This window comes from Homo sapiens, chromosome 13 (genome assembly GCF_000001405.40).
Source record: "Homo sapiens chromosome 13, GRCh38.p14 Primary Assembly".
In the NCBI taxonomy this organism is placed as follows: Eukaryota; Metazoa; Chordata; class Mammalia; order Primates; family Hominidae; genus Homo; species Homo sapiens.
This window is the reverse complement of record NC_000013.11, coordinates 50782394-50803583: the sequence shown is the minus strand read 5'-3', so window position 1 is coordinate 50803583 and position 21190 is coordinate 50782394. Positions and strand designations below refer to the sequence as shown.

General features: G+C 41.3%; 1 protein-coding gene across 1 annotated transcript in view, besides 2 other annotated features; it reads left to right on the top strand.

The window, feature by feature from the left end:
* DLEU7 (deleted in lymphocytic leukemia 7) overlaps window positions 1–21190 on the top strand; it is a 132914-nt gene that overhangs the window by 40356 nt on the left and 71368 nt on the right. The window lies entirely within an intron of this gene.
* Window positions 2119–2218: an enhancer, noted in NCBI's record as "active region_7768". NCBI's record gives its function as "activates an Ori minimal core promoter by ATAC-STARR-seq in GM12878 lymphoblastoid cells {active_cell/tissue: GM12878}" and the evidence as "EXISTENCE:reporter gene assay evidence [ECO:0000049][PMID:35858748]".
* Window positions 2289–2338: an enhancer, noted in NCBI's record as "active region_7767". NCBI's record gives its function as "activates an Ori minimal core promoter by ATAC-STARR-seq in GM12878 lymphoblastoid cells {active_cell/tissue: GM12878}" and the evidence as "EXISTENCE:reporter gene assay evidence [ECO:0000049][PMID:35858748]".

Sequence of the window (21190 nt, the reverse complement as noted above, 5' to 3'; positions counted from 1 at the left end):
TCCTTTTTGTTCCAAGAAATCTGGTGTGTATTTTATAATTACTGTGCATCACAATTGGAACTAGCCACATTTCAAGTGTTCAAGAGCCACATGGGGCTGGTGGCTACCATATTTGACACACTTTAATGGGTTAATTTTATTAATGTAGAATATTCTAATATAGAGAGAATTATATCAATAAGGAAATGTCTAACAACCTAATAAAAAAGGGCAAAGCATTATTAATTCACTAAAGTTGAGAGAATTTCAAGTTAAATTATCAGAAAATATTACTTCACATCAGATTGACAATGATCAACACATTCTATAACATGCTGAGTCCATGAGGAAGGGGAGAGTGAGTCGTTTCACACACTGATGGTTAAAGTATAAATTCGTACAATCTTAGTTGAGGGAAATTTGTCAATATCTATCAAAATGACAAATGCACATACCTTTGACCTAGCAATTCCAATTTGAGGAATGTTTCCTACAGATGTATTTGCAAATGTGTGAAATGATTTATGTACCAATGACCTGTTAGGCTATTGGTTATACATGTAAAAATCTGAAACTGCCTAAACGTTATCAATAGGGAACAGGTTAAATAAATTATGAAACATTACACAATGAAGTGCCGTGTGATAAAAACTAATAAGAAAATATATTATGTAATAATGTAGAAGCCTATTTAAGCTCTATTGTTATGTGGATAAAAAGACAAGGCACAGATAAGTATAAATAGCGTGGTCCCAACTGTGTAAAAAAGTACATGTACATGTATGATATACACATGTACAGACATATAAAACATATCTGGAAATATCCATATATAATTAGTAATTCAGGTCGCCTCCTGTGAGGAGAACTGGTTGTCTCAGTGACAGAGATAAGAGGGAGAGTTACTCTTTAGTGTATATCCTTTTGTGCCATCCAAGTTTAGTACCCCAAATATGTATGACCTATTCAAAATTAAATAAAATATTTAAATTAGTTTTTGAGGGCATTGAAACAAGAACAACCATGGAGAAAATTTTATTCAATTTTTGATATATATTGCATTTTCTTCATTTCTGCTTAATATTTCTCAACATAGCTGTTGACATAGGTACTGTCGCTTTCTAAATGAAGACACCAATATGAAGAACATGGGCTTGCTATCTAAGAATTTCATTTTTGGCTCCAGCTTTCTTGAGAGTCAGGAGCACTAATTAAATGGTTTTGCTTAGTTCTTTCTTTCTGACCTACTCTGTTTAGTGGAACCAAATGGGAGGTATTTCCAAATCATAATCTCTTTCACCAATTGCTCTCTTAACTTGATTGTACCTTCCTGGGTGGAGAAGCATCAGTTGGGTTTCTATTGAAATCAACAAGTGCCCAGTTCCTCAGAGGCCAGCCACTCTGGATTAAACTGCATCAGGCCTGTTCCCAGAAAACTAAACTAATGGGCTTGTGCCTTTTTTTTTTTTTTTTTTTTTTTTTTTAGTGTATAGAGGCTCCCTTGTTCATTTTGCCTTGTCTCTCTCCTGAAATCCTGGCTGGTTCCAAGTCCTGACTACCCCCATGAGGAGAATCACAGCCCACCTTTAGTGGCACTGATCCAAGCGGGCCTTCCTTGCCCACCTCCAGACAACTAAGGCATTGGCAACACAGCATCTGGCACAGATTCTCTGCAGGCAAGATTATTATACCAATTGAAAATGGGGTTACAATGGCCAATTGGAGTTTGAGGCATTTAAAAGGTAATAATAAATCTATTGGCAATTGAATAGTCATTAATAACACTACCATGGAAACAGATTGACATAGATTTCTCAGATTCTCATGAATTCAACTTTGAACTCCCTAACTTGGTGTAAACAAAATGATGTTGTGGTTTGTGGTGGTACAAGGGCGCGCTGAGGTCTCAATGTTGGATCAGAGTTTTCCAGAATCTACATATATGCTCCTTGGAAGGTAATTTAAAATCATGTAAAATCTCAACCAACAGTGCAGTGCAAGGTGCTGAGGGCTCCCTGTGCACCCCGTGAAAATGGCCAAGGCATTGAACGAAAGGGATTAGGTATTTCCATGCCAACCAGTGGAGGTCAGTGTTGAGTCGTCAATCTCTTGCCTTAACTGGATGCATTATGTTGCCACAGTAGACCGGTCTCTGCTCAGAAAAGGGATACTCAAAAATGAAAATGTGGGGCTGATGACACTTCGAAGTATGAACAACAGCTCCGTGCTGCTAAAGAATGGTCACCTGGAATAGCTGAAAACATCTGAAGCGACCTCAGGAAGGGTTGCTGCACTGGGAGCAGGTGGATGGAGGGGTGACGGTGTAGTTATGCAGCTTCAGCTACCGAGAGCTCACTTTGCCTTTCAAACCGACTCCCCTCCCAAATTCCTCTCCACTGAGAGGTACTGGGATCCAAGATGAGCATGTTGGTCTCTTTATTAGCTAAGCGAGTTTTGAAAAAGCAAGGAGAGGACAGCTAAAGTTGCTTCCCAAGAGTAAAGGGACCTTCTTGTAGACAACAACTTTTTCTGTAGAGTCACAATCCTCATTTCTATGAAATGTGAAAAGCCTCTTCAAACATTCATTCCAAATTGAGAGTCAGCCCCACTGCTGGCTTGCTAGTGGTCACTCTCAGAGTGGGCCTTCCTTATTAATCTCTAGATACTGTCCACATGGGGAAACATAAAGTGTGAGGGAAGAGCCTAGCACTGTATGCTGCAAAACTAACCACTAAAACACCAGGAAAACATAAGGAGACAGAAAAGTCCAAGAGGCCATTGAAATCTCTGTACTTTCTTCACCTCGCCTCTCTCTTCTCCCTAAGGGCTGCAAGCTTCCTCTCCATAATTCGAGGATTTAGGGTATAAAGCACCAAGCAGAGTATTTGTCCAAAGCAAATATTTAAGCTCCTGGACATTCATTCAGCACGATTATTTTGGTCTTCATCATGATTAACGTGATTTGGCTGGAGGGGAGGATGGGCAGAAGTTTTAATGTGCGGGAAAACCCCTGAGGTTCTATTTTTAGATGCTTATGTTCTTCCTCAAAGGGCAGCCTAGGAGGAGTGAAGGCAGCTCTGTTTGTTTAATGCCAGGGGGTATAGGTAGCAATTAGCAACTTAAAATTATCCTCAGTGAGGAGGCCCCTTCATTCCTCAGGGTGTGGTTCCTGTTCAAAGCTCAGATATACAAAGTGTATTTTTTGAAACTGAAGGGGAAGGGGTGCTTTCCCACTTTCTGAATTTGGTATTCTGTTTTACATTTTGTCGGTATTTTTGAATATTTTAAATCTATTTTTTACACTCAGTCAACCGGGCTGAGCATTAGCCATAGATAGGACTCTTCTGATACAAGTACTATGTGCTTTAACTTCCAGATGCCACCTCTGTCCTTTTCATACCATGAGCTTTTATTCTCTTTTGCCCTTTCTTACACTACTTTCTATTTGTCACACTCCTTTCTTTGTGCTTTCTTAATCTGCCACCCTCAGCAGAGGCATCGTACCCAAATGCTGAAATTCTATTTATTCTGCAAACTTAGTTCAAATGTCATCTCCTGCATGAAGCCTTCAATGCCCCTTGCCAATCTTTCTTCACAGGCAAAATTAATCATTCCCTTCTCCATACCCCCAGAGTTCTGTGTACAGTTTGATAGTGTCTACACACATATATGTGGACATCCAGTAGTTATGCAGCAAATCTTCAGCAACGCAGGACAGATAATCTAAAACTTCTACTGTTGCTATTGAGAGAATGAAGACAATGCAATACAGTTAGCAATCACAGAGTAAGACTCCAACATAAGCAGAGGAAAGAGAAGTATCTAAATAGAAAGTTGTAATTGCTGCCCACAAACAAGAGGGTCCTAATATAATACCACTCCCTTCCATAATAGTGAAGAGAGGAAAAGATATTTTGTAGCAGTCGTCTTGTAGAGTCCATTTTAAGGCAGCCCCACTAAGTTTCTGCATGTGCCCGAGACCTGCTACTACAGTAGCAACTAGGAATGGAAACTGCTGGTGCTACAGAAATGCTGTTATTAAAGGATCTAGAGTTTAGAATCTAAACTACAATGTCAAAGCTTTTTACAATTGCAGAGACGCACAATTGTCTGTATAAAAATCACTTTGCTACAAGGCAGTTAGTTACTAATCTGACCAACCGGCTGGAGTGAAGGTGAGACATGGACCAAAGTGGAATAGAGAACAGGATCAGCAAATAGCACAAACCCGTGAAATGCAATAGAATACAAGAAATCCACATAGGAACAAGGCAAGGGTGTTTTACACGGCCATTTCTGCTGAGGATTGTATCAATGCATTAATGAAGAAGGGCTTGCAGTGAGTCCAGATTGTGATTATCTCTGTGTTATTTGAAGGTTGTAATATGCATATATGTGTGCATGTGTGTAGGAGGATAAAACTGTTACTTCTTCACCAGTCCACTGCCCTACCCCAACCAAGGCAAAGCTCATTGTTTGTGGTTAGCTGACTCAGGGAGAGGATGTATTAATCAAAAGCAGAGAATAGGGACCCTGTTCTGGCTTTTGAGGTTTCAAAAACATAACCCAGGGAAAGGCAGGGAAAATTCGGAGCAAAGATCCTCACTTCCAGGAGAAAGATAAAGCTTCTCCAGCTTGGGTGAAAGAGGAGAGTTGGAGGAGAAGCAAGAAGCCCTGGACAGTGGCATGCCTTTTCTGCAGGTGGAGTGAGGAGGGAAGGAGGCCCACACAGGTGAGTGGGTCCCAAGAGCTAGGGGGAACCAGGGTTCCAGAATACAGAAGGCTCCAGGAGCAATGGCTGTGTGCACTAGTGCTTTGACAGTCTCCTCGAGGTTCCAGCACTCTGATACAGGGAGTGACCAGCGGAATTGTCCTGCTTATCATTTCTAGAGTGGCCTGGAGGTTGACATGAGACCCGGACAGCCTCAGAGAGTTTCTCTTGCCTCACTGCATGTTGGGAGCAGCCAAATAGCTTGCATGAGCTCAAGAACAGCCCAAATATAGTACAAAGAGTCCCCAGGCTGGACAAGGCCCTGCACACATGATTTAAGGATTGTGGGTGGAGACCCAGAGAGATGGAACAATGGGAGCTGGCATCATCAGGTGAGAAAGGACTGAAGGCATTGGACTCCTAGCCCTGTCCCCATGCCACCTTGAACGTCTATGGCATCACAAATTGCCTAGGTGTCAGTGTATGTCCCACTGGACAAAGGGAACTTAACGTAAAAATTAAAGTAAATAACCAAAAATATTAAAAGTTTAATTTTTTGCACAACTGAGTTTGCAGTCAGGTTTGTGACTGCGCCACCCATATTGTGTTGTACACATATATGTGCTATTTATTTTGAATGAGTTGTAAATATACATTTCATTTCATGTGGGTTAGGTCACTTTCAATGACTTCCTTAGTTATCATATTATGAATATTAATGAGTGGTTGCAGAGCCAGGTAGAGTGAATAGACAACTGCCATCAAGGTGTCCAAAATGGCATACCACCTGCAGAATGACATGTGAACCAGGCCTATTTGGTGGTGCCACCTATTACAATGGCATTCTGAAATCTGCTCTTCTGTACAATTGCTTAATTCTTCATCTACCCATCTGTTAGACTGTGAACTTCTTAGTTAATATGTTTCCCTAAGCCAAAACAGTGTGACCCAGAAGAGGGGCTAAATCAACTTTTGCTAAATGAAGAATGTTCCTAACAATAGGGGACAATAGTACGTTCTTACAATTTCTCTGTGGCCCCCATTAAATTCTGGCAGATTTGGGAGCACAGAATCTGAGCTCTATACTTAAGTGAATGAACAAATAATAATTTTTAGGCAAGATAAAATATGTGACACCAAAGGGATATTCAGTGTACTCCGCATTTTGCAAACATAAGTGAATCTGCATCTCTGTCCATTTTCCTTAGTTATATGCCTAAAGATCTAAGCAGGAAAACACCCTTAATCTTTTCATATACTTTCCTGCCATGAGAATAAACAATTGCCATTGAGTTCAAGACCTACCAAAACACAAGAATGCTTTCAAACATTACAATGAAGAAACTAACATCTACTCTTTTTCCATTTCCTAGTCCTACTTAAAAAATGTTTTTGATTCTTCTTTAAAATGTAAGGGCTTGTAAAGAAAAAACACTTCTTGTACGTGCTGCTTGGTGATTGAAGCTTTAAAGTGCAATAGAAGGCTCCCGTGTCTGGAACCCTTATTATATTAGCACGTCCCAGAAAAAGATTAGATTTCTCTCAAGATTGACTTTGGCTGAGTTTCCTCCCTTATGTCGTACTCCCTCAGTGTCTGAGCTTCCTGCCTTGGACTCCAGGCTGTGATTCTTACCACTGGGCCCCAGTTTCCTGGAGGATGAATCCCAGCACGCTTTTTCATGCCAACTACTTCCCTTGGGTTGAATCCAGGTTCTAGACCTACTCTCTGCACTCACGTTCCTACCCTATTTGTCCCAGAACAACCAACTCCATCCAATGTACTCCACGTTCGGATCTTACATCCTCTCAAATCTGATCATGCATCAAGTCTGTTTCAAAACCTGTGATACATCTTCATTTTCAATTGCAGAATTTTCCTTCTGCTTGTCTATAGCACATTTTATTCAATGTATTAGTTAGAGTGTGTTAACTGCATTAACAAACAACCCCACATTTGTAGTGGCTTAACACAAAACATTCTACTTCTTGCTCACAACACAGTTCAGTGCAGGTCAGATGGGGTGTTGGGATCCACTCCAAGTGGTCTCTCTCAGGGATGCGTTTTCCTTCTATCTGATGCCTCTGCTCTTATTAGGGTCTTCATAAACCTCACTGTTCAGTCAGAGGGTGGTGGAAGAGCAAGGACTGGACATAAGAGGTTTTCATAAGCAGGCCTGGAAGTAGCACACCTCACTTCCTTTCACATTCCATTGGCCAGAGCTCAGTCACATGACTGAGTGGGAGTGGAGTCACATGACCACTTCTAATTGGACTATAGCAGTTCCCACTTATACCTGGTTTCAGTTTCTGAGTTTTTTGTTAACTGTGGCCAACTGCAATTCAAAAAGATTAAATGGAAAATTGCAGAAATGAACAATTCATAAATTTTAAATTGCATGCCATTCTGGTAGCATGATGAAATCTAACACCATCCTGCCCAGGCCCACCCCAAGACGTTCATCCTCCCTTGGCCTAGCAGATTTGCACTATAGATGCTCCTCACCTGTGAGTCACTTGGAGGCCTTCTTGGTAATCATATTGACTGTTGTGGGATCACAGTGCTTGTGTTCAAATAACCCTTATTTTACTTAATAATGGCCCCAAAGCATAAGACTAGTGATGCTGGCATATTGTTATAATAGTTCCATTTTATTATTAGTTATTATTAATCTGTTACTGTGCCTGATTTATAAGTTAAACTTTATCATAGGTATGTAAGTATAGGAAAAAATATAAAATATATAGAGTTCAGTACTCTAAGGGTTTCAGGCATCCACTGGTGGTCTTGGAACATAGCTCCCTCAGATAAGGGGGGAATATTATATATATCCTGGTGGTATGCTGAGAAAAAAGGGAAAACAGGTACTGGTGAGCAATGGTAAACTGAGTCACAATTGTATAACTTTTGCTATGAAAAGTACGTAGTTCCTAAAACTTTTAGGCCAAAAGTGTCTACTGATGCATAAGAAAAATCATACTCTGACTCAATTGCCCTAACATATTTGCAGTCCCATTTTTTAAACCACAAGGATAGAAAAATGAGTGGGTAGAGATCATTAATATTAATCATACTAATTATCTTTAATTTCCAGTTTATGTACCTAATCTCAATTCTGCAGTTTGCTATAAAAATAATCGCAGTGTGAGTTAACATTTTAGCTTGCTGATAAAAATAATATTAAATAACGTTTACTGTTAATTGATAAATTTAATAGAAACACAAATATGTGTAACATACATATATTATTGAATGGTTCAAGGTAGAGAATTTTAATATTTTAACAATCTGAAGTACAGTTTAAATTTAGAAATATTGAAGAAAAACAGGATAAATGTCATACTCCATATTGTGGCATACAATGTCCTTCCCAATCTAACCTCAGCCTACCTTTTTCACATCATCTCCACTGCTCTCTCAGGGAACAGAACTTGCTGGAATGAAGAGAACCAAGGTCAGGGGCTACATTTCTACTGTCTTCCCCTTTATCATCAACTGCATTTGTTGCCTGAGAGAGTAGGTGAGATACTGGACCACTCTGGAGACGTGCATGGACATGAGTTCAAGGTGAATCTGCTTCTGTCCTTTTGCTATAATCCCTGATCTCACAGGTAAAGTTGGGGAGGAGGCCACTGGAGCCCAAGAGGATCTGTTTGGCTGAAAAAAATATATGACCCCTGACCAGAGGCTACTTTTCCAGGGTTGGCCCCTTCTCTATGAAAGCACTTATAGATCTCCTATAGATAATATGAGCTAGTATACCTCTAGCTTTTGGTTAATCATGGTAATTCCCAAAACAAGCCAAGGATTTCACACCTTGGGGCCATTTTGTGTGTTTTTGAAGCCAACCCCATCAGTAATAGAATATTTAATTCTTAATTAGATGGAGATCACATGTCAGCCTAGCCGTCACCAAGTAATTTTGTTGTAATAATATATAATTATATGTATTTATATAATACATAATATATAATCACATAATTTTATTATTTTATCATGTATGATAACTACATACTTAATTTCCAACCTAGCCAGCCAGCTTCCAGATGTGGACCTTTAATCTCATGTATAAAAGTCATTTGAAGTAAATCTGGGTATAAATCCTGTATTTAACATTGATTGTGAACTTCAGCAAATTAATCATTTGAGCCTCAGTTAAAAGGAACTGCTCAATAATGCCTACATCAAGGGTTATTGTGAAGTTGGATGAGAACATGTAAAGGACACCTGCTCTTCTCTTTTGAGAACAAATCTACTACAACTACCAATGTCTTCCAACTCACAGCACAAGTACAAGTAGCAAGTCAGCCATGATTCTCATATTAAAAAACTTAAACATTTTCACCAGATGCTATTGGCAGCCTGGCAACCTGAAGTAGTAAGTGGAACACAGGAATAGGAGTCAGAAGCCCTGAATTTTATGTCCAATTTGGCTCCAATTCAACTGTGTGGCTTTGGGCAAGTTAATTTTTCAGCTTCCCCTTTTGTAAAATGGGAGGACATAATCCTGCTCTGATGACCTGGACTTGAATGTCACAATGATTGTAATGCCATCATTATTGTGACCAAACACTCCATGTTAAAAAAAAAAAAAGTCTTTTTACTCAACTTTTTTAAAAATGTAAACTCTTACGACAAGGGCCTGGGGTGTGTAACACATTCCCTCAACAAATATCTATTGACCTGTGCTTGGCTGGGCATCGTTGAGCTAGGATACAGTGGTGAATACAAAGGGAAAGTCAAAGTGTAAACAATAAGCAAGTAAATAAATCAACTAGATGATTTCAAATACTTACAAGTTGTTTAAAAACTAAACCATGTCTATCCATATGCAGAAGAATAAAACTGCACATCTACCTACCACCATATACAAAAATTAACTCAAGATGGATTAAAAACTTAAACGTAAGACCTCAACCTCTAAAAATCCTAGAAGAAACCTAGGAAATATGCTTCTCCATATCAGCCTTGGCAAAGAATTTATAACTAAGTCCTCAAAGGCAATTGCAATAAAACTAGAAATTGACAAATGGGTCCAAATTAAACTAAAGAGCTTCTGCACAGCAAGAGAAACTATCAAAGAAGTAAACAGACACCCTACAGAATGGGAGAAAATACTCACTAACTAAGCATCTGGCAAAGGCCTATTATCCAGAATCTATAAGGAACTTAAATAAGTCAATGAGCAAAAAACAAACAATCCCATTAAAAAGTGGGCAAAGCACATGAACAGACACTTCTCAAAAGAAGACCTACAAGCAGCCAGCAAACGTAAGAAAAAATGGTCATCATCACTAATCATCAGAGAAGTGCAAATTAAAACTGTAATGAGATATTTCATACCAGTCAGAATCACTTTTGTTAAAAAGTCAAAAAATAGCAGATGTTAGTGAGGCTGCAGAGAAAAGGGAACCCTAATACACTGTTGGTCAGAATGTAAATTAGTTCGGCCACTGTGGAGAGCAGTTTGGAGATTTCTCAAAGAACTGAGAGTTGAACTATCATTTGACCCAGCAATCTCACTACTGGGTATCTACCCAAAGGAAAATATGTATGTTCACTGCAGCACTATTCACAATAGCAATGGTATGGAATCAACCCAGTTGCTCATCAATAGTGAACTGAATTTTTAAAATGTGGTACATATACGCCATGGAATACTACACAGTCATTAAAAAAAAGAATGACATCATGTCCTTTGCAGCAACACGGGTGCATCTGGAAATCATTATCCTAAATGAATTAATGTGGAAGCAAAAAACCAAATATGGCATGTTCTCACTTGTAAGCGGAAGCTAAACATTGGGTACATATGGACACAAAAAACAGGAACAATAGATACTGGGAACTACTAGAAATGGGAAGAAGGGATTCAGGGAAGGGTTGAAAAAAACTACCTGTGGGGTATTATATTCAGTACTTGGATGATGAATTCATTCATATTCCAAACCTCGGCATCACACAATATAATTTGTAACGAAACTGTGCATGTACACCCTAATTCTAAAATTAAAGTTGGAAAAAAAAAAAAAGAGGAGCAAAGAATGCAAGAAAACCCAAAAACCAGAAGACAAACTAATCTATGTGAAGAGAGTAAGTAGGGAGGAAAGGGCTGGCTTAAATTGATTGGGTAAGGGAGGCCTTTCTGAGGAGGTGATATTTGAGTGCGGACCCAAAGAACATATTCAGTTCTTGCACACCTTATCAACAGTGGAATGACGTAAAAAACAGTGCGCACACCATTAACAAGTGTGAGTTAAATTTGATTGATTAAGTTCAGTTCCCGGAAGTGAATAGAGAAGTGAATAGAGAAGAAGAGATAGTAGAAGGAAAAACTAGGCCAAGAAAAATAAGACACTCAGTTAGGACTGCTGTCTCTTTCCAATCTGTCTTCCCCCAGCATACTCCTATCTGTGTGGAGTCGTGCTGGGGTGCTGGACATTTTAGGGAATAGCTAAAGGGAAGTTGCATTGGGGATTCATTTTGTTTGGGTTTATGAGGTATGTTTATGAGACTCACAGGCACTTCTCTGTAGTTATTGAGCTAATATATTTCCTATGTAAAAATATCTTCCAGGATGGAATGTTGGACAAAAGTAATGGGTAGATTCTTGAATTATTTGATAATTCAATTAAAGAGAAGACTAAATCACATGAGCCATTGCAAAGATATTCCTACTGATTTGACACAAAATACTGGCATCGATGAAGAAAACAGAAAACTCATGTTCACCATTACAATAGGATATATAATACACTGGTTCTGAGTGTTATCAATTTAAAGAATATTTAGAAGTTAATATATAAGAAAACTTGAAAAGTCCTTAAATCCTAGAGCTCATGTATGAAAGAAACTTGATAGAGTTTTCCCCAGATTTGACAACAGTCCTAAAAAAATGTAAGAGATTGCCAACAAGAAGTTGTGAAGTGGTAAGTTTTCAGCTTGGAAGGAAAGACTGAAGCTCAATTCTATTTCTTTGTGTAAAAAAATGCTGTTACCGTATCACTGTCATAGGAAAAGGTGATCAAAGAGCAGCCAAGAAAATGTGGAAAACATGTAAAGGCGTCAGGCTCTTAACTAATAAAAATACATTTCTGGATTTTGTGATTTTTTTTGGTTTTTGTCAGATCTTTAAAATTGTCATTTGCTGTGGTTTCTTTTCTCATTTTAAATAGATGTTTACATTCAGGCCAATTTGTATTCATAATTTTGGGAGGATTTTTCCTTAAAGATTGAGTCCTTCACTTGGGTAATTTTTAGGTTCCACAAAACTTGGCTCTGACCCTGCAAGCTGGCCTGGTGGAGAGGTGAGGGGAGATGGGGATGTTTCCAGAGTGATGTCCTAGGTAAGGGGAGATTCTGGATGTTCCTAGAGTGGCCCAGAACACGTACACACTGTCACCAACACATACACATGTGTCCAGTCTACCCTGTTCCGACTGCTCCCCAGACCCAGAAGGCCACCAAGGTGGCTTTTCTCACCCACCTGCAGCTGCTGAAGGCCCAAGTCTCACCACCCACATCCCTGAACCTCACATGGTCACCTCCTGTCAGGGGCATGAAGCGGGTGGGAGAGCACTGGGCAGGTGTTGGGTGTGTGAGCAGGAGAAAGCATAGGTGCCCCTGCATGTGTACAACCCTGCCTGACCCTGCACATTGCTCAGAGAAGAGCCCAGCCAAGCCCAGGGGACACATCTATGAAGCAATGGTTTCTCCTGGAACCTGATGGTATTCATAGGTTTCTTTAATGAGTGTGATTAACAGGCCCACAGGTTGGATGCATGATGGTGAATTTTGGCACTGGAACCCCAGGGCCAAAGCCCCTGGACTCTTCCTTTGTGTCCTCCCTCCCTCCCTCGCCCACTCGGTCTTCTTACAAGCCACCGTCCAGAATCACCTCATTCTGCTCTGAGAGAAGGTAGCCGTGTCCCCTTCCCTGCCACCTTTTCTGCCTTCTTTGGGTATAGCCGAAGTGAGCTTATTCAGCTTGGGCAATAACATGCTAAACTTTTTTTGAGGAAGGAACACTTTTTTCTAAAGAGCACAAAGCCTCAGCCCTGGTTGTTCTTCGGGAATGCACCAGGACCTCGAGAGAGCATCCGTGGCTAATCTCTACAGGAAGCCTGACTGGCTTCTATTGTCTCACCTGGAAAATGGAGTTATTGACAGTTTATACAGCATTGGGTTGAACAGAGTCCTCTTCCTACCCCAGCCAGCACGTTGTCCGCCCACCCCACACCCCTCGCATCCCACAGACTAACCATCCCAGCTTGGCTGTTCCAAACTTTCCCCAGACATGCCTCCTTTCCACCAGTGTGTGTGAGAGACCGAGGATTCCTCAGAGCTGTCTCTGAACAAGAATGATGGTCAGACTCCATGGAGAATGCCTCAAAGATAACATGAAAAAGCAGCGGGGGTCTCCTTAAACGGAGAGTGTTACTTTGGTTCACAGGATATCCTTGCGGGCCTGAGAGGGCACCTCAAAGTCCACATCGTGTCATGAAAAAAATATAAAAGGATTTGGGAGAAGGAAAACAAACTTCTCTCACACACAACTCCCTCCCCCTTCAGATCTTTTTATTTTTATTTTTATTTTTAACAAAAGAAAGAGATATTGATAGTAATGGACATACAAATAATCATGTGACAAGATGGCTCTGGGAGGCCGGGTGTGGTGGCTCACGCCTGTAATCTCAACATTTTGGGAGGCCGAGGAGGGTGGATCACTTGAGGCCAGGAGTTCGATACCAGCCTGACCAACATAGTGAAATCCCATCTCTACTAAAAATACAAAAATTAGCTGGCCATGGTGCCACGTGCCTGTAATCCCAGCTACTTGGGAGGCTGAGGCAGGAGAATCACTTGAACCTGGGAGGCGGAGGTTGCAGTGAGCGCCACTGCACTCCAGCCTGGGCAACAGAGCGAGACTCTGTCCCAAAAAAAAAAAAAAGAAAGAAAGAAAGAAAGAAAGAAAGAGAAAAAAGGTGGCTCTGGGAAACAAAGACTTGTGGAAAGACTTGCTGTTTAGTTTCAGTTTACCTGATCAGACCTTAACATTAAGAAAAATTCTATGCAGACATGCAGACATGTTTTGAAGTGGGCAGTAATTCACCTCACTGGGTTTTAGCTTCCTCAGATGCTATGAAAAGTTAGAACAAAACGATTTCCAGGGTCCGTTATAGGGCTAACATTCTATAATTTCATAATGATGATGTATTCTGTTTAGGTAACATGTTATTCTATATTTTAAAGGTGACTTGCAATCAAGTAGGCATTGATTAAGCACTAACAGGCCATATAACTTAGAAAAGTACTATTCTGTAGAAAACAATTGTGTTCCTGAAAATGTGCACTAAATATATGTGTGTGTATACATATATACATATTTAAATAAATCAACTTCTATTTCATACACACCATGAGTTTCCTGCTCTCAAGAATCTTGTGATGAAGATTTTATGGGGCTTAGTTATCTAGTATGTCAAGTTCCATTTTCTTAAAGAAAAAGAAACATTCACACTGAATGTTTGCATTGTGTAGGTCTCATCATCTGGAGAATGGCATTGAGGCACTGAGAGGTTACATGGGTTGTTCAGGAGCACGGGCAGCAGCAGAACCAACATAAGAACTCGGGAACTTAGGCCAACACTCTGACCCCAGTGTCCCACGCGTCCTTTCCTGGTTGCAACTGGAGAATTAACATGCTAACCTGCACGTATGCTGTCCACACTCCGCACACACCGAGCTCCGAAACACTGAGCACCCTCTAGCAATGTTTCATGCAGAAAACAGACAACCTTCTGGATGCTGTTGTTGTGTTGTGACGAGGCTCTGTTTGGCAATACGACGATGCTCCAGATGTATGTTTTCCAAAATTGAAGCCATTATTTACAGCCATACAGAGGGAAAATAAACTTCACTCGGCTGCGGACTTCCTAGAAGCTGCTCTTTCCTCGATATAACCCAGGCTCCCGCTCTGGGTTTACAGCTGAAAATAAAATGCAGTTGGTGTGGTGGCTACTTTCACAGTCCCAGGGGTGTGAGGGTGAAAGGGTGTCCGTGAGGATGCCAGCTTTTGCTCCCCGCTCCCAAACATCACTCACTGTTATGATGAAGTCTTAACCTAGCATCTCTCATCATTTCTGTGGGAGGGATTTTCCTATGAATCACTTCCACATTTGAACATCCCAGGCGAGGGCCCTTGATGCTATTTTCCTCTCAGGAAATATTTATTCCCTTGTAATATTTTCATTTCTTGGCTCCTTGAAGAGTGATAGAGTCTCACTCTGCTTGTCACTCTAGGACACAGAGGACAGAGTGGTTGCTCTGTGTTCTTTCTGAAGCCCTGGAGTTGGAGATGTAGGCAGCCATTGATGGAGGCTCAGTATTTAGAGTGTCCTCGACAATGAGGTTCTTTCTGCTAAGTGCCAGGAATTGTTCTTTTGACTTCAACCTTTTCTTTCACAGCCTTGGTATTATTCGTCAGTGTTTTCACACACACGCACAGGAGGGTCTGGGGGAATGTGTTGGGAGATGTCACAGGCCAGCCCAGAACTGGTGCCCACATTTCCACCCCCTCTCTAAGAGGAGGCTGAGGAATGTGGTCCAGCCATGAGCCCTGAGAGGTGAGGAGATTGGTTTGCTGGGTGTCTAGCCAGGCTCCAACCAGGATAAGTGTTGGAATAAGGCAAGAGAGTTGGTTAAGAGAATACTTACAAGGCTGGGGACAGAGCCTGCACACAGCTAGAGACTGAGAAATGCGAGGTCCGGTGGAACTCAGCCCCTGCCCTCAGGAGTCACAGTTGAGAGATAGAGATGCTATCAGATTATCTAACTGTGGGAGAATCCTATGGTGCTGGGGAAACGCCTGCTGTGCCACGAACAGAGCTGTGAGAGTGGAAAGGAGGGAAATGTAGGCTACTGGCTTGGGCTTAGGGGAGGTTTCACAGCAGAGGATCCATCAGAGTGAGTCAGAGAGGAGTGAATATGGGTTTGTGAAGAGGAGACGTGGACAATGGGTATGAGCAGAGGGAAGGCGCTGAGCTGGGTGGTCCAACATGAGTGGAGAGTGAGGCCACAGAGTCCATCGGGGAGATGGGGGTGGAACTGGTCTGTGGGGATAGATGGCAGGGAGTCTTGGGTGCTGCTATGTAGGTAGTAGGTCATTGTTAAAGGTGGGGGGGAGGGCAGGGGAATGACATGATTGGATCCATGTTTTAGGCAGTAGGTCTGGTGACCAGTGGAGAATGAATGGAAAGTAGGAACAGCAGGGGGCAGGGAGCTCAGTGAGGAAGCTGTTTCCACACCTGGGGCAAGAGGTGTCAGCAAAGATGCAAGGATGGCAAGTGGGAGGTGGTTCAGGTGACTTCTGCAGGGATTTGATATGGCCAGTGAGGGGTGCCGCCCTTTGATTTGCTCCATCTTTGCTATCTCCCTGCCCCCAACACATGCTGGTGTTCCATTTCCCTTTGAGAGTCATGGGATATGAAACCCCAAATGCTACTTTAAATGTTAGTAATTACAACAGAGAATGCAGACAATGTTATTCATTTCTCTTCTGATTTAACAGTGGGAGGTCCCTGTTGATTGGAGAAGTAATGCTAACAGTAACATTTCTGAGCTTTGTGTTTTAAATCCCCTCCTGGGCATTATTAAGCAGGCCTGACCTCACCAGGAAAACTCATAGTCAGTACAGCATTTACTAAGTAAACGCCAGGCACTGTTTTAAGGACTTTTTGTTATGTTAACCCATTTTATCCTCATAATAAGGAAGGTGATGCCAGAAAAATTATCCAAAACTTGAAACGAAGGCTAAAAGGTGAGAGACATGTTCTTTCAATATCATAGGAGAGAAAAGGCCACTCAAGGATTTTCTTGAATAATGTCCTTGATTTACCTCATCACTCAACTTTGATTAAAGTTCCAAGGCTTAAGGAAGTCACTTGTTAATTTGAAGACTTTGGTCCAGCAGATTTACAAATAATTTATCATCAGGGAAACCGAGAACCTCAGTGATTTATGGCATGTTGGACATTACCCAGATTATATCTAACCTGGCAATCTTATCCTAATATTTCTCTGTTAAATTTTCTGTAAATATCCTTACTCCTCAGATGCCCTTTGAGGGTCATAACATTCATTTTTAACTCACACAAAGAGTTAAAAAATAAAGGATTTTATGTTTTCTAAAAATTCCATTTTGAAAATTATCATTTGCACAGAGAAATTATGGGGTTTGCCCAAGGACAGAGAGATTCAGTTGGTAAAGCTGGGATTCTCACTCAGGAAGTCTGGTTCCAGGGAAGTCCTGTATTTACCCACCATGTATTAGTGAGCAATTTTCTCCATTCTTAACTGTTCTGGATTTCTCTTCCTGCTGAATCCTACGAGTATTTATTTCATTTAACAAATATGCACTGAGCTGCTACTATGTGGCAGGTTCTGGATTAACCTACATGGTAAATTGTATTAATGTTGTATAGTACACGTATACAAATTAGCTCTTATCTATGTGTTCAGGAACTAAAAAACAAAACAAAACAACCAAAAACCAGGCAAGGAAACTTCTGGGCAATTACATAATTTGCTGTGTCATTTCTTTAGAGTCTTGTGATTATCTATGAATATGGCATATGGTGAACCAAGTGTATTTGCCACACAGGTAGAGAGAGAAACCAGAATGGGTAAAAATCAGGCTCTTTGATGATGGGGTTCAGGCCCATGTAAAGTCCAAGAGTTAGGTATTTTCTAGAACCTTGAACCCATCAAAGTCTTATTAGTAAAACCACACAAGCAAAATGATGTCACACGAAAGTCTCCTTCTGCCAAATCTCTGCCACCATGATCTGCTTCAAAACGATGGCTGCCTGGAGTTTCTCCACCTAATTTTCATCTTAATGCTGGTCCTTTATGCTAGAGTCTGTTCAAGCAATTATGAGTAGTGGTTTCCTTCTATTCTGGCGGCCAGTATGTTCTGTCATTTTAAAGGCGTTGCTGCCTTTAGATAATGAGAGTATAGAATAAAGGGCCTGGAATATCCATGGCCACACCTGTATTTCTATCTCTCTGTTCCCTGAGAACATTTGGCAAGTGTTGGTGATAAATGCTCTATTCTTGGAGAAAACTGGTACTTCCCATGACGTTTTGAAGTGTTTATCTCCAAGTCATGAATGGCAACTTCAACTCCCAAGTCAGGAAATTCAGCTACAGCCCAGAGAAGAAGGAAGTGATGCCACAGGAGTGTTTCCCAGTTAGGTGGTTCAACATTGAGGAAGACAAAGCTTAATTTACCATTTAGCTTTGCAGCCTCTTAATCACCCAGTAGTTGGCCAAGTTGCCTTAAGTGATCTTTTTTTATAGCTGAGGATAAGGCTGTAAGGACTATTCAGCACTCAAATTTTCAGATTCCAATTTTCAATTTCCAATGGGTCATATTAACTCCAGGATCAACTACCATATTTGGCTTCTAATAGAGCAAAATTCTAGGTGAAAACTGTTCTGTACTCCCCAGGTACTCCTCTCAAAAACAAAATTTAAGAAAATTGTAGTGTTACACTGATTACTATGATTACTGTCACATCTTCTGATTTAATCTAAAATTGCTCTAAGATGTGAAATAATTGAAAGCTAGTGAATGCCTGGCCTCATTCCTGATTCCGGGTGCATCCATCTCTGTGTCTCACTTGTCCCAACCCCAGGTGCCCATTGAATATGGGTTTTCTCCAAATGATTTGATGTCACACCTGCGTAAGTTACTCCTCAGCTTAAGTCAGCAGGAAGGAACATTAACCCAGGCCATCTAGTAGATTATCCATTGGCAAACTCAGGCTTCACAGGACCAACAGTCATGGCACTTCCATAGGGCATGACGTAAGCTGAGGGGTTGTCTCTTCTCCTTATATAAGCAGCCCAAGTAAAAGCCCAATTATGTTAAATCTAGAGAAGAACAAGAAGTCCCCAGACTCTCTTCAGTAAGAAAAAACTAATTTGCACATCTGAAGACAGCTAGTTTCAGGTTGATAACTGACAGCTCTAGGGAAGAACAGTTCACTCAGAGCTGCAGGACAGGTTCCAATATGAATCGCTTACTTTTATAAAGCACTTAACTGTTCACACAGATGCAGGGAAGGAGATTGATCACTCCACTACAGATCAGAGAAAGAACCCAGATGGTCCGAGCAGCTTGTCTAAGGTCACCGCTAGGGAGAAGTGGCAGGTCAGGGATGGGAGTCCATGCTTTCAAATGCAGCGGCCATGCAATCTCTCTGTGAGTGTCTCCAGGACAGGTTGCCATTTGTGCCCATAGAAAATGCACTTGAACACTTCTCCTGAGTGTGACATGCTCTGTGGAGGGAAATGTCCATTATCTGGGGGCACAAACATCTTTCTTGGAGAATAATGTGATCGAAAATTCCCATTGCTTCTCCTCCCTTGAGATGGAAACAAGTTGGGGAGAGGTATGCAGTGAACAATTCAGAAGAACCAATAACCAAGCTAAGTTAAGGCAGATATGCAGATGGAATTCCAGTAGGTTTGATTTCCACATGAGATGCCCAGCTGCATTTTTCCATCACTTTTTATGGGCCTCTAAGGAGCTGTGAAAAATACCTGGTCTGTAGGGACCAATGTTCTGAAGTAAGCAGCTAGGAAAAAATCCTTCTTTAATATGTCTTGAAGTGAATTCATGATTGCACCAGAAATATATCTTAATACAACATGAGCACATCAATAACCCAAAAAGCAGAAGTGCTTCCAAAGCACTTCAAGTGGACGTTTGATTAACATCTCACAGCTCTAGACATTTGGAAACTCTCTGCATCCAGGTTGCACAGAAATCCATGTGCCTGGCAAAACACAGGGGGCGGGTCGCTGAACTGAAGCTAGAGCTTACGGCTTTGCAAGAGCAAGGGTTGGCAACCTCTTAAAAACAGGGAGTGGTAAGTCTGTGATCTTTGTTCTGGCAGAGCAGTCACAGCACAGGCCTAGAGGGCCTGGCCATATCTCTATATGTGTTCCTTTGGGCGTGGTATGGGCCAGCATGGGGAGAGCCTATGGCAGGGATCAGGGACTGATGGCTGGGGATGGGTGTGTAAAAAAGTGTCTGTTGCTGGAGTAAATTTCAGAGGACTCACCTCAGCTCACCAGTACGTCTCCAGCACTTTGTGTTGAATTTGTGAGCACCTATTTTCTTTATGTTTTACATTCCTGCTACCTGTTTGTGGCAGAGACGCTATTGGCCATCAATCCATCAGCTATAGCCTGTACTTTCTTTTGCTCACAGGACTTCACTGCAGTCACCCTCCTCTGAGAGGTTGTATCGGCTGGGTCCCTCCCCATACTAGGGAGGGAAGCTCCACTGGTCTAAGCTAATCATAGTGGTGTCATTCTAAGTGAATGAAACTACAGAATAATTATAACTTGGAGTGAGATGGTTTGGGGATCAACAAGGCTTCCAGTTGGCCAGAGGGTGGACTCTGTGTAAGATTATGTGTAAGATGACGTAACCTGAAAATATAGATTAGAATCAAGCTATTGGGGTACTTTGAATGATAGGCCAGGAAGTTTAGATTTTGTTCATGTCATTGTTTGGTTCAGATAGTTTATTTGGAAGGCCATCTCTGGGGGCACAAAAGGGAAGAAGTAGGGGAAGTGAGATAGGGAAGGGAGAAACCAATGAAACATTTGTTAAATGAGTGATTTGCTGCTGTGAGCAATGGGAGCTCAGCCCTGCTGGGCCCCCTGAGAAATGGAGAAACACACTTTAGAATCCATCTACCGGAGATAAGGAGACTGAGGAATTCAGCAAGTGATTCCCAACCCCTATTGGTTGAGGTTGCCCTCAGCAGTGTTGACTTTTCCCAACTTCTGGGTTATACCTTTTGTAAAACAAGCTCCCTTGATGCTGGAGAAAACTTTTAGGAAGAATAGAAAAGAGACACACGCCTTTGAAGTGGGAAACTGTCTTGGGAGCTCATGTTGTAGGTGAACGCAGGCTGAGGGGAGGTGGACCCAGGCACCAACAGCATCTGCTACATTCAGTAATTAATGGAAGACACAGAAAATGTTTGAATAGGTAAAGGACATGATTAGAAGTTATCCTGAAGAGTTTTTTTTTTTTTTTTCTGTAGACAGTGTATATGATGGGTGGGAATTCACATTTTTATTCAAAAGACAATTTTGAGTCCTGTGCAATATGCTAGGAATATGGTAAGGAATAAATCTTCTGACTTCAAGAAGCTCACTATATGGAAACTAGGGCTATTTTGTAGAAGATGAGGAGGCTGTGCTAATGGTCAAGTGTGAAATAATGAGGAAGCAAATTAAAGCCATGGCAAGGGAAGGCAGAAAGGATAAAATGGTTGGAGATAAAATTGCAGAGATCAAATGAAGAGGTCGCAATAGCTTCTTGGACAAGGAGGTTGAGAGTGAGGGAGAATTCATAGATGACTAAAGTTTTGGTTATGGCTATTTGAGAATATCACACTGCCAACAACAGAATCTTA